The sequence below is a fragment of the Homo sapiens genome, chromosome 8 (genome assembly GCF_000001405.40).
Source record: "Homo sapiens chromosome 8, GRCh38.p14 Primary Assembly".
Taxonomy (NCBI): Eukaryota; Metazoa; Chordata; class Mammalia; order Primates; family Hominidae; genus Homo; species Homo sapiens.
In genome coordinates, this window is record NC_000008.11 from 28,540,816 (window position 1) to 28,554,583 (window position 13,768).

The 13,768-nt window shown below is 37.3% G+C and overlaps 1 protein-coding gene across 30 annotated transcripts in view; it reads left to right on the plus strand.

Annotated features, from left to right (window-relative positions):
- The window catches only part of FZD3 (frizzled class receptor 3), an 80,047-nt gene that overhangs the window by 46,604 nt on the left and 19,675 nt on the right, over nucleotides 1-13,768 (plus strand). For 22 of the 30 annotated variants that reach the window (NR_182067.1, NR_182070.1, NR_182066.1 and 19 more), the window contains one exon: nucleotides 10,788-10,936. The exons of 1 other annotated variant lie outside the window; for it this stretch is intronic. Coding sequence is in view for 22 of the 29 variants with exons in the window: in NM_001412925.1 (NP_001399854.1) it covers nucleotides 10,788-10,936 (149 nt within the window). In the remaining 7 variants the exon portion in view is untranslated. Of the gene's footprint in view, nucleotides 1-4,728; nucleotides 4,835-10,787; nucleotides 10,976-13,352; nucleotides 13,442-13,768 lie in introns of those variants that run through there. 7 more of the 30 variants (NR_182069.1, NR_182068.1, XM_017013843.2 and 4 more) reach the window with 5 other exon arrangements.

The following is a 13,768-nucleotide window of genomic DNA, read 5'->3' on the forward strand; positions in this document are numbered from 1 at the left end:
GTGCCTGTAATCCCAGATACTCAGGAGGCTGAGGCAGGAGAATCCTTTGAACCTGGGAGGTGGAGGTTGCAGTGAGCCGAGAATTGCACCACTGCACTCCAGCCTGGGCGACAGAGTGAGCCCCTTTCAATAAATAAATAAAATTCAGTTTATTATAGGGCTTTTTAAAAATAAAAACTAAACACTGTATCCCATTTCCTTTATTCAAATATTTTTCTTTAGTAGGCTTTGCCTTTCTAGCTAGTATATGGCCTGTTTTACGTACTAACTACCTCACTATTTTTGTGTCTCTGTGTGATTTATAAGTAGATAATAATGTATTCTCCTTCTTCTTTGTTCTTCATTTATAAGGGGACACTCCTTCTTTATAGCAGTAGCTTGGCTCTTCTTCCTCAGTGTCTTGGCCCTCTGGCTCCAACACTCTGCCTGTGGCATCTTCAAAAAACAGGTGTTATTTGAGTTGCTTTCACACTGTATCCCTGCCATGGGCAGTGCTGACTTGTCTTTTCTGGAATTTTGGCTTTAACCAGAACCCTGTAATGCAAAATGTTCTGTGTTACATCCCTGCTGTCTTCCAAATCTTCTTGCCTAATTGGAGGTTTTGATTGTTGCTATTCCTGATTTTGTTTTTAGCGCTCCTTCCCTCTTATTCAAGCATTTATGTTACGTGAACAATATTTCTAATTTACACAGACAATGCAGTTTAAGGTGCTAAAGAATCGAAGTTGGAAGATAGGGTTTCTCTCCTAGGCTCTCTGTTTTCTTTCCTTTCTCCCTTTTTTCTGTATAATCTTATCCAGTCCCATGTTTCAGACTATACAGCCCAACCTTGTTTCTGTGCTCCAAAATATCTATTTACATGACACTTTCTTTTGAAAGTCTACAAAGCATTTCAAACTTAGTATGTCTAAAACACAGCTCTGAATTTTTCTCAAATCTGCTTCCTGCATCGCGTTCCCAGTTCTGCTCCATTCAGTAAATGGCATCATTATCCGCTAGTTGTTCAGATCCAGATTTGGAGCTATCTTTGGACCCTCTCTTTCTCACATATCTCAGATCCAATCCTTCAGCTTCTCAGTACCTCCACCTCTACCTTAGTCCAAGCCATTCAGTAATTCACAATGGCCTTCCTATTCAACTTCATGCTTCTACTTTTGTTTCTTTAGTTTATTTTCAACACAGTAGCCAGAGCAAGTTTTAAAAACATAAGCGAGATCATGTTGCTGGTTTGTACAAAACCCTCCAGTGGCTTCCTGTTACTCTTAGAATGAAATCCTTTTTTTTTTTTTTTTTTTAACTACTCCCTGCAGTGCCATATATGACTGGACCCCTACCTCCTTCTTTGACTTCGTCTCCTACCATTTCTCTTCCATCCATGCTCACTTTTAGCCTTGCTGGCCTCTTTGTTATTGTTCTTCAGAGACAGCAAACTTGTTCTGTCAGGATTATTGTTATTGCTGTTTCTTCTGCCTAAATCCCTACTTAAATGTCATGTCCTTGAAGAAGCCTTTACTGACCACTTTGATCTAAAATTGCTTGCTGGCCGGCCGCTGCGGCTCACTCCTTAATCCTAGCACTTTGGGAGGCTGAGGTGGGTGGATCACCTGAGGTAGGGAGTTCGAGACCAGCCTGACCAAAATGGTGAAACCCCATCTCTACTAAAAATACAAAAATTAGCTGGGCCTAGTGGCGCATGCCTGTAATCCCAGCTACTCGGGAGGCTGATGTAGGAGAATCGCTTGAACCCAGGAGGCAGAGGTTGCAGTGAGCCAAGATCCTGCCACTGCACTCCAGCCTGGGCACAACAGAGTGAGACTTGGTCTCAAAAAATGAAATAAATAAAATAAAATAGCTTGCCCATCCACTACCACACCACACCCACACACGCTATCCCCTACCTTGTGTTTTAGTTCTTATTGCTACCTGAAATTGTAAGATTTCTTTAGTTCCTATACATTGATAGCACTGCACCCTTACCCTGCTCTACAGTGTAAGTTCAACAAGGGCAGAGAATTTTCTGACTATTTGCTGTTATGTCTTTTGTACAAGGTCATGGTAGCACTCAGTATTTAAGTGACTGAGTTAATTAGCTGTGTGACCTTGCAGATCAGTTCACTTCCCTAGAGTTTGATTGCATCTGTAAACAAAGGGATGAGTAGGATAGGATGTATCTCTAAGGATAGGATTTAGACTCTAGATGATCAGTCATCTAGAATTGAAGACAACCTTGAAGTCATGAAGTTCAAGCCTCTTATTTTATAAAAAGTGATTTGACTTATGTCACGTTGCTCAGGCCAGTGGTCTTCACATCACACAATTGTTCTAATTCTGCAATCAACTCTGATTAGCTCTCTTTATCTTTTTTCATTACAATTCTTAGTTTTAATTTTTATGTTCTTTGCCTTCATCCTCTTCATCGTATTACTTACGTAAGTCACCTCTTTACAAATAATTATTTTTCTTCAGTTAGTCCTTGTTTTCTCACCATTTATTGAGTATAAGCCAGTGTGATTTGAAGTCTGCTTCCCAGCTCTCATTCTTTGCCTTGCCACACTCCACTGTTTTTGTTTTTGTTTTTTTTTTGAGATGGAGTGTCACTCTGTCACCCATGCTGGAGTGCAGTGGCGCAGTCTCGGCTCACTGCACCCTCTGCCTCCCAGGTTCAAACAGTTCTCTTGCCTCAGCTTCCCGAGCAGCTGGGATTGCAGGCACCTGCCACCACGCCTGGCTAATTATTGTATTTTTGGTAGAGACGGTGTTTCGCCATGTTGGCCAGGCTGATCTCGAACTCCTGACCTCAAGTGATGTGCTCGCCTTGGCCTCCCAAAGTGCTGGGATTACAGGCATGAGTCACCGTGCCTGGCCCACACTCTACTTTTATGAGATTTTCTCTTTTTGTAAGCCAAAAAAAAAAAAATGTATACAGTCATGGTTAACATGTATATTTTAACTAATATAATAGATTTTTTAATCATGGAAAAGGAAAATAACTTTTGTAGCAAAACTAGTCTCTAATTCCCCAGTAAAGTTTTTCCAGCTTAATAGGCTCATAGGCTATTAGAATAAACCTTAGAATTTACCTATTCCAACTCCTTAATTTTCAGTGGGGGAGATGTATCTATCAGCTTAGAAAACACTGAGGTAAACAAAAATAAACAGTTCTTCAGGACTTCTCAGAACCTTGAATATATTAATGTATAATCCCTCCGGGTGGGGAGGAGGCTCATAATACCCAAATTTTATTTTACCGCAGAGTATGATACTCTGCGGTAAAATAAAATCGGATAAAATATGGATTACCTGTTAATATCTTCTGGGATAGTAGTGCTCCTAAAACACATTTTTGAATATTTATTAGGTGTCAAACACAGTTCTAAGTACTTTAAGCTTCTCAACCTGTTTTATCTGCTACATTCATGTGTTCCTCCTTAATATGATATGAATATCTGCCTTTAAGAAGTAGTAGTATGCCATATCGGAGAATACATATTGGAAAATGTAAGAAAGGATGTGTTTGTGTATGCAGAATATAAGTCCTAGGTATTGATTCATTTAGAAATTTATTGTGTTTTCTATCTAGTTGATCATTGATTTATTTATATAGCTTACTTTACATATTTATGATATTCACTATATACTGTAGATATTAAATATCAGTATAATTTTTGATAATTTCTTAGAGCAATTCATTTGTAGAACATTTGTTGATATCTATCATAATATAAATTTACATTGTATCTCATGAACTTTTGGCATTCCATTAATACAGTAAAAGTTTTCCTGGTTAAATGTTTTGTCAATTTTGATTATGCACGTATAGTCTTTTCCACTTTTTAAAAAGTCCAAAATATGTGGGAAGAAAATGATAAAACATACTCAGAGTAAAAGCCCCCTTACCCCTGCAAATCAATATAACCACAATTTACATTTTTCCATACTTTTTGATCCCTATGTGTCTAGTCTGTTTTCTGTTGAGTGAAACAGAATACCTGAAACTGGGTAATTTTTAAAGAAAAGGAATTTATTTCTTACAGTTATGGAGGCTAAGAAGTCCAAGGTTGAAGGGGCCGCATCTGGTGAGGGTCTTCTTCCTGATGGGAACTGCAGAGTCCTGAGTTGATGCAGGGCGTTACGTAGCGAGAGGGCTCAGTGTACTAGTTCAGTCCCTCTTCCTCCTTTTATAATGCCACCAGTCCTCTTCCTGTGATAACCCGTTAATCAGTTTATGAGGCAGAGCCCTCATGACCCAACACCTCTTAAAGGCCCCACCTCTCAATATTCCCCCACTGAGGTTTAAGTTTCATTGTGAGTTATGGAGGGGACAAACATTCCAACCATATGTAGCAACCACTATGGTAGCTACTCTTCAGAGAGATGCAGCCCCCTGCCTCCAACCAGGGAGCCACATCTCTTGCTCTTGAGTAGTCCCTTTCCTCAAATTGTGCTGGCACTGTGACTTGCCTTTGATTAGTAGAATGCAACAAAAGTGATTCTGTATGACCCCAAGACTTTGCTAAGATCTCTTGGAATGCTTGCTTTGGGAGAGGTCAGCCTCTAGTAAGAAGTCAGACTATCTTGAGACCACAAGATGTGTGGAAGCCCAGGCTGGCCCTAAGCTGTATAGAAAGGTTTCATGAAGGGAGGGAAACAGAAAGAGAGAAAGGTGATTGAGAAGACCAATCACAGAGAGAGGGAGAGATCTTCTCAGTCAGCTCCCGTCTTTTCCAGCCATCCTAGCTGATATTTGAGTGAAGAAGCCATCCTGTATGTATGTCCAGCTCAGACTAACATCCAGATGATTCCAGCCCCAGCCATCATCTGACTGCAGCTACATGTGAGAACCCAAGTGGGAATCACCCAGCTGAGCCCAGTCAATTCACAGAACTGTGAGAGATAATAAATTCTTGCTTTAAGCCGTTAAGTTTTGGTGTAGCTTTTTACACAGTCATAGATGGCCAGAACAGTGCATATTGGTATATTAAAAAACATACCAAAAGTCATATTTAATATATGTATAAATAATATTATAGATATTACAGCCATGCACCACATAACAATGTTTCAGTCAACCGTAGACCGCATATGCGACTATGGTGGTCCCATAGGATTATAATGCTGTATTTTTATTTTACCCTTTCTATGTTTAAATAGATACCCAAATATTTAATATTGTAATACAATTGTTTGCATTATTCAGTACAGTAACCTGCTGTACAAGTTTGTAGCCTAGGAGCAATAGGCTATACCATAAAGCCTAGGTGTGTAGTGGGCTATACCATCTAGGTTTAGTCTAAGTACACTCTGATATTCGCGCAATGACAAAACTGCCTAACAACACATCACTCAGAACATATCCCTGTTGTCAAGTGACACATGACTGTATAATTTTGAAACATAAATGGTGATCATATTTGGCACATCAGTCTACACCTAGTTGTGTGCTGTAGCTGGCTCTCGGGCCCATAAGATGCAGTTCCACCTTCAGTGATATCACACTGGTTGCTTGAAAATGACCATCGAAATAGGCAGATGCTGCAAATCAGGGCTTCCCTTGACCCAGAGAGCCAGTTGTTAAAACATTTACCAGCACACCACTGTCTGTATTTTCCTTTTTTCATTTACATTATTATTGTTTGAATGACTGTATATTTGGTAATTTGGATGTACCATAATTTATTTAAACAATCCCCTATTGTTGACCTGTTATTTCTTTAGAATGTTATTTCTCGAAATAGAATTGCTAGGTTATACCAATTTACCAACAGTGAGGGTGTTTCCCAATGCCCCACCCAGCACTTATTTTTATATTTAGAATCTTCATACGTATATTTTTTTAAATTCTGGGATTTTTTATTCTTAGAAGTTTTTAATGGTTCGAGGCTGGGCGCAGTGGCTCACGCCTGTAATCCCAGCACTTTGGGAGGCTGAGGCAGGCGGATAACAAGGTCAGGAGATCGAGACCATCCTGGCTAACACAGTGAAACCCCGTCTCTACTAAAAATACAAAAAATTAGCTGGGCATGGTGGCAGGCACCTGTAGTCCCAGCTACTCTGGGAAGCAGGAGAACGGCATGAACCTGGGAGGCGGAGCTTGCAGTGAGCCGAGATCGTGCCACTGCACTCCAGCCTGGGCGACAGAGCGAGACTCCGTCTCAAAAAAAAAAAAAAAAGTTTTTAATGGTTCGAAACCCAAAAGCTACGAAAGTATATGGGAAAAGTCTCCCTTCTATCACTGCCTGTGTTTCCCAGCTTCCCAGTGCCCCTCTCAAGGGTAACTTGGAATTTTATAAGGAATTCATATATCCTCTTTCAGTTATGTTCACGCGTGTACAAACAAGTATATTCCTTTGCTCCCTCTTTTTTTACTCACTTGGTAGCTCCCATACACACTTCCCTACCTTGCTCTTGTCATTTAATGATATATTTTGGAGATCAATACCAAAAGAGAAAAGTCTTCCTCAGTATCTTTTCATGCCCTCATGGTATTCCATTGAGTGGATAAATCATATTGCTTCTAATATTTTACAATTGGTATATGATATGTGTACAATACTTGAACATACATCATTTCACATATAAATATATCTGTAGCATACATTTTTAAAATAGTTGCTTAATCAAAGGGTATAACTTTGATAGACATAGCCAAATTGTCTTTTATAGAGGTTTATGAATTTACCTCTCCATCACCAATATATGAGAGTATTCGTCCACACATTTGCTAATGCAATATACTGTCAGACTTTTGGATCTTACCTATTTGATAGGTTAAAAAATAGTACCAGCATATAATTTAACTATGAGTCTGAGCTCTAGGTGTGTCTTTTGTTTTCTGTAAATTGTTGATATATTTCGCCTATTTTTCTTCGGGTCATGGGCTTTTTTAGTTGTAGGAGTTTATTATTCATTAACGAAATTAGCCCTTTTATCTGCCATATAATTTGCAACAATTTTATATCAGCTTTTTTATTGTCTTTTGGCTGTTGTTATGAAAGTTATGGCCATGCAGAAATGTGGGATTTTATGTAGCACAGTTGTCTCTTTTTTTTTTTTTTGAGACGGAGCCTAGCTCTGTCACCCAGGCTGGAGTGCAGTGGCATGATCTCAGCTCACTGCAACCTGTGCCTCCCAGGTTCAAGCAATTCTTCAGTCTCAGCCTCCCAAGTAGCTGGGACTACAGGCGCCCACCATCACACCTGGCTAATTTTTGTATTTTTAGTAGAGACGGGGTTTCACCATATTGGTCAGGCTGGTCTCGAACTCCTGACATCAGGTGATCTGCCTGCCTCAGCCTCCGAAAGCGCTGGGATTACAGGTGTGAGCCACCGTGCCCAGCTCACTTGTCTCTTTTTGATGGCTTCTAAGTTTTATGTCATGGTTAGAAAGTCACTCTCCATCTCTCTCCTTGAAATAAAGCTTTCATCTACAACTTTATGGTTTCTTTTTTGTTGTTAATTTTTTTCTTACATTTGAATTTTTGTTTTTTTGTTTTTATTTAATTATTTATTTACTTTGAGATGAGGTCTTGCTGTGTTGCTCAGGCTGGAGTGCAGTGGCGCGATGCAGCCTCTGCCTCCTGGGCTCAAGCGAACCACCTGCCTCAGCCTCCCTAAGTGCTGGGACTACAGGCCTGAGCCACTGCGCCTGGCCTGAATTTTTGATCTTTTAGAAATTCATCTAGGTATGAAATACGGTATGGCTTCAGCTCTATTTTTTTCTAGAAGCCTGTCCAGAATCCATTTATTGAATAAACGTATTTTTTCTGAATGATTTGAAATGTTACTTACTTAAATACTGCTTATATTAAACACTGTGTTCTATAATTACACAGTTTTAATTATTATAGCTTAATGATGTATTTCTCTTCTCTTTCAGGACTTTCCTGTTTGTTCTTGATTGTTTTTCCATGTAAACTTTAAAATCAACTTGTCTAATTCTCATATAACTCTTGGTATTTTTTTTGGAATTTGGGGATTGTGTCAAATTTAATAACTAAATCAAGGAGAATCTGCATTCTTATGATAAATTATTTCTAACTAAGAACATGTTTGAAGTGGGGTGTGTTTTAAAACATCTTCAAACAGATCATTTCTCTTATTAAATTTATTCTTAGGTGTTTTGTCTCTTTTGTTATAGTTTGTATTAGTATGCTAGGGCTACCATAATGAGAGACCACAGACTGGGTAGCTTAAACAACAGAAACTAATTTTCTCACAGCTCTAGAAGCTGGAAGTCCAGGATGAAGGTGCTGGCAGGTTTGGTTTCCTCTCAAGTCTCTCTCCTTGGCTTGTAGATGGAAGCCTGCTTGCTGTGTTCTCACATGGCCTTTCTGTGTGTGTACACATGCCTGGTGTCTTTATGTCCAAATTTCCTCCTCTTATAAGGATACCAGCCAGATTGGGTTGGGATCTACCCACATAACCTTAATTACCTCTTTGAAGGCCCCACCTCCAAATACAGTCACATTCTGAGGTACTGGGAGTTAGGGCTTCAACATATGAATTTGGATAGAGGAGACAGTTTAGCCCATAACAATGGTAAATGAAGAATTTTCTTTCTTATATCTACTAATTGATATTTATATACATGAAAGTTATTTGTGTATTTAATTTCATACCTAGCCACCCAGCTTATAATTTATAATAGTTTTTACTTTATTCTCTTAGTTTTTCCAGGTATAAAATTATATTATTTATAAATAATGATCACATTGCCTCCTCCTTTCTAGTTTTTATAAGCTTTATTTCTTTTATCTAATTGCAGTCTAGAGCTGTTGAAATGGTTAAACTAAGAGTGGTGGCAGTAGATACTTTTCTTGTATTCCATATTTTAATGAAAATATTTCTAGTGGCTTTTGGTGTTTCCATTAAGCATGATGTTTGCTTTTGGATTGAGATATAGATACATAGTGTCTTTAAGTACTTCATCATCTATCTGTATTTTATTACAGCTTTTAAAAATCAAGAATGAATACTTCTATCAAATGCCTTTGTGGCATTTATGAAGATGATCATATGTTTTCCCTTTGATCTAATAATATGTTGAATTTATAAATAAATTTACTAATATTGAACCATCTTTGCATTCCCCTGTTTGGTCCTGGCCTATTCTTTTAATTTGCTGTTGAATTCTGTTTGCATACAGATTCCTAAATGAGACATAAATAAATAAGTTTCTTTATGGAGGCTTTGTTAAGTACAATTTTATGCTTGCTTTATATAAATAATTTTAATCGTTTTCTTTGTCTGTGTTTTCAGACAATTTGAAATTATGTGTTCTTTAATGGTTTATTAGAATTTTCCTATGAAACTTTTGGGTCTAGTGCTTTCTGAGGAGGTGGCTGTTTGACAACTTTATTTCTTCTATAATATATCTGTTTAAATTTTTTTATTTCCTCTGGAGTCAATTATGTTAAATTACATTTTCCTATCATTTGTTTCCATTGGTTTTCAAGTCTATTTGCATGGAATTGAGTAAAGTAATCTTTTTAAGATTCTTTAATTTTTCTCTATTTGCATTCTGTGTCTGTGTGTTTGCTGTTTTCTTCCCTTTGTTGTTTTGATTAGACTGGAGTCTGGCCTATCCTTTTTCAATAACCAACTTTGGGTTATTAGTTCTGCTGTTTTTTTTTTTTTGTCTTACAAATACTTTATTTCTTCTTTTATCTTTTTTTTTTTTTTTTTTTTTTTTTGGAGACATTGAGTCTCATTCTGTTGCCCAAGCTGGAGTGCAGTAGCACAATCTTGACTCACTACAACCTCCACCTCCCTGGTTCAAGCGATTCTCCTATCTCAGCCTCCTGAGTACCTGGGACTACAGGTGCCTGCCACCATGCCCAGCTAATTTTTGTATTTTTGGTAGAGATGGGGTTTTGCCATCTTGGCCAGGCTGGTCTTGAACCCCTGACCTCAGATGATCTGCCTGCCTCGGCTTCCCAAAGTGCTGGGATTACATGCATGAACCACCACGCCTGGCCTATTCTTCATTTTCTTTTCCTTAGGTTTGCTTTATTGATTGATAATACAGTTGATATTTCTAATTAGTCATTATTCTATTAATTTGATTTAAGGCTTTTTGTTCTATAGAAGTTTTAAATTTTTAGTAATCAAAACTATCACTGTTTTCCTTCTATGGCATCTTATTTTCACATTACTCTTTTAAGAAGTTCATCTACATCACCACTGCCTCTCTCCCGCCATTGTACAAATGCTGTCCATTCTTCCCTATTTTAGAAGATGACTAATGTCAGCCAAATATCTATCATCTATCTAGATAGATAGATAGATAGATATGGCTCAATGTATAGAGTATAAATTTATTGCCAAATTTTCAGGAGTATATTTTTTCCACATAAGAAAATTACTTATAAAACCTTATAAATGAAAACATCAAATTTGTAGAATTATTTTACTCTATTTTATTTAAAAGATTTTGGGCCAGGCGCAGTGGCTCACGCCTGTAATCCCAGCACTTTGGGAGGCTGAGGCAGGTGGATCACCTGCAGCCTGGCCAACATGGTGAAACCCCGTCTCTACTAAAAATACAAAAATTACCTGGGCATATTGGCATATACCTGTAATCCTAGCTACTTGGGAGGCTGTGAGGCAGGAGAATTGCTTGAACCTGGGAGGCAGAGGTTGCAGTGAGCCAAGATCACACCATTGCACTCCAGCCTGGGTGACAAGAACAAAACTCTGTCTCAAAAGAAAAAGAAAAAGATTTCATAATGGCCTTTAATAGAAAGTTATTTTTATATATTTAAGATGCTTTTCTTTCTGTTCTTCCAGGTTACTCAAATGAGTCGTCCAGACTTGATTCTCTTTCTGATGAAATACCTGATGGCTCTCATAGTTGGCATTCCCTCTGTATTTTGGGTTGGAAGCAAAAAGACATGCTTTGAATGGGCCAGTTTTTTTCATGGTCGTAGGAAAAAAGAGTAAGTTGAAATAAATGATCACAGTGTTCACAAACCTCACATTTACGTAAATTTTTTTGTGTTGCTTATGTTAAAATGACTTGGATTTGGAGAATTATTCAAACAAGACTAACATTTTCAGCAGTATCCAGTTATGATTGGCACAGTAGCATGTCTTAATTTAAAACTAAAAACTTATTTTGAGAAGATGGCCAAGTAGTCCAGAAGATGACCAGGCCTCCTGTACTAATTCAGAATACTTGAAGGAAGTCCAATCTTTGTGAAAAAAATTCAAATTGTAATTTTCTTAAAAGCAAATTAATGCTTTTCTCTACATTCTTATCTGATCTTCCTGATATTCCTTTGAAGGTTGACATATATTCTCATCTCTCTTTTACAAATGAGAAAACCAAGATAGAGGTTAAGTGCTTGGCCAAAGTCACACAGGTATTTACTGATAAGAGCTAGATAAACTTCTGTCTCCAGTTGTCCATTGTTCTTCCAAGTGTACCAAAAGTGATATAAAGAAATACTCTTATTCCATTCTAATATAGTACGTTAAAGCCAAATAGAAAAATGATATTAGTAGATTAATTGAAATGTGTTAGAGGTTATTGTAATTCATAGTTGGCCATACTGCATATTACAGTGTGATATAAGGGCATATTTAAGGAATCTTTAAATTTTTGTACCTTAGTTTGTAAAACAAAAACAAAACAAGACCCTTCAGTTTTCACAGTGGAACAAATGATTTCAAACTCTACTCAGTTTTAAGTCTCATAGGTATCTCTGTCTGAATTATCACAAACTCTAAGTTAGTGGATTCTATATTTCTTATGATTTTACTTAATCTAGGATCCATGGAAGAATGATTTTTTTGTGGGTAGTCTGTAAATATTTTAAAATTATATGTAGAATGCGCCTTGTATTGGTTAATGTCATTTTCTTATACAATTTGAAGTTACTTTAGTTTCAGCCTCACTAATAAAGTTTATATTTACTAAAATACCAGTAATTAACAATTTCTGTTATACAAATTATATTAACATCACAGTTTAATATACAGTCAGCCTTTTGTATCTGGCGGTTCCATATCAGTGGATTCAGCCAACAATGGATCAAAAATATTTGGGAAAAAAAAAATTTAAGAAAATTCCAAAAAGCAAAACTTGAATTTGCTGCATGCTGAGCACTACACTGAATCTATGCAAATAAAGTGATGTATTAGGTACTGTAAGTAACCTAGAGATGATTTAAAGTATACAAGAGGTTGTATGCAAATACTACACCATTTTATATAAGGGACTTGAGCATCCTCGAATTTTGGCACCCACAGGGGGTCCTGAAACCACTCTCCTGAGGAAATTGAGGGATGATTGTATACATTTCTTATTGTGATATCTGAGACTGCTACTAGTGATATCAGATAATGCATTTCTCCTTTAAATATAATTTTGTAGAGCAGAGAAGGAAAGAAGGGGATGAGTTCACTCAATAGCAACCAAAAAAAATTCGTCTTCTAGGCATTTATTCATTCTTTGAAAGACTTGTTGAATGCTTACTATGTGCCACCAACTACTTTTGGATACCAATGATTTGATAGCAAACAGAACAGGCCAAGACCCTGCTTTCTTAGAGTGTCCTCCCTTATGGGATTTACTGTGATTTATTTGTGTATTCTTTGGAAAACTGTATTGTAATCACAGTAAAACACAATGCTGAGGAAAGGACTTGAATTAAACATTCCTGGATACCTCTGGGCCATATATAAATAATTCTGTGATAGAGTGGCATTAGAAATTCCAGATAGAGCTAAAACTGAAGTTTTCCTTATAGAGATTTATCCTAGTTAGTTTGCGGGGATACTGGTTGGGCCGAAATCCTTTTGAAACTGGTTAAAACTCTCAGGGGCCCTTCCATTTGGTTTTCTGCAGCTGTGGATTCCCAACCAACAGTCATTGTGATCTTCCAAGCCAGAATGTGCTCTGGGCTGGAGTGGCAGCCCCTTATTCTGGCATTCAAGAGCGTGGGCACCCTTTGGCTATTTCTAGCATTTGTCTGGTTAGCCTTTGGGAAACGACTATAAGATAATAATAATGGGTACTAATTTATTGGGCACATTTAATACTCAAAGCACTGTTCTAAGCACTTTACACATTAAATCATTTAACGCTGTAAACAGCCATGTGATGGAGGACATCATTTTACAGATAAGGAAACTGAGGCATAGAACCAAGATTTCATAACAAGTGATTGCTAACATATAGATGCAAGCCCAGTCTGACTCCAGAGCTTTGCTCTTAACTACTTTGTTACACTGTGCTGTAGACTGGTTTCTAACATTGTGCTAATCAAATTAATGTTCTCCCCTTAAGTGAAGCCAGATTTAAGACCATACTTATGCTAATAATTCTGACATAGATTTAAATATTTTTAGAAATCCTCTTTTGGATTACCTGGGTCATTTCACTTAATTTCTCTGGACATTATCTGTAAAATGAGGGGACAAACCTTCACCATTTGGAGGTGAGTTAAATTTTTGTAACAACTAGAAGTCAGTTTTAACCAAGTTTAGAAAATAAAGTCAACAACCAAGAATGACTTGGTGGGATGTACATATATATGAATAAGGCCGTTGATTACAGAGGAACGAATCCAGATTTTTATTTTTTTTACTATTTTTGGCTTGTTCTTTTTTCTGTCATGTTTTTGGCACTTTGTTTTCCAGATATATGTAAACACTGTTTTATCATTACCTTGTGATTAGCCTCTAAGACTTTAAATTTAAGTTTGATCCTTGACTGTTGGTTTCGTTGTGTGATTTTTTGAAAGTTCTTTAATTTCTTAAAACTT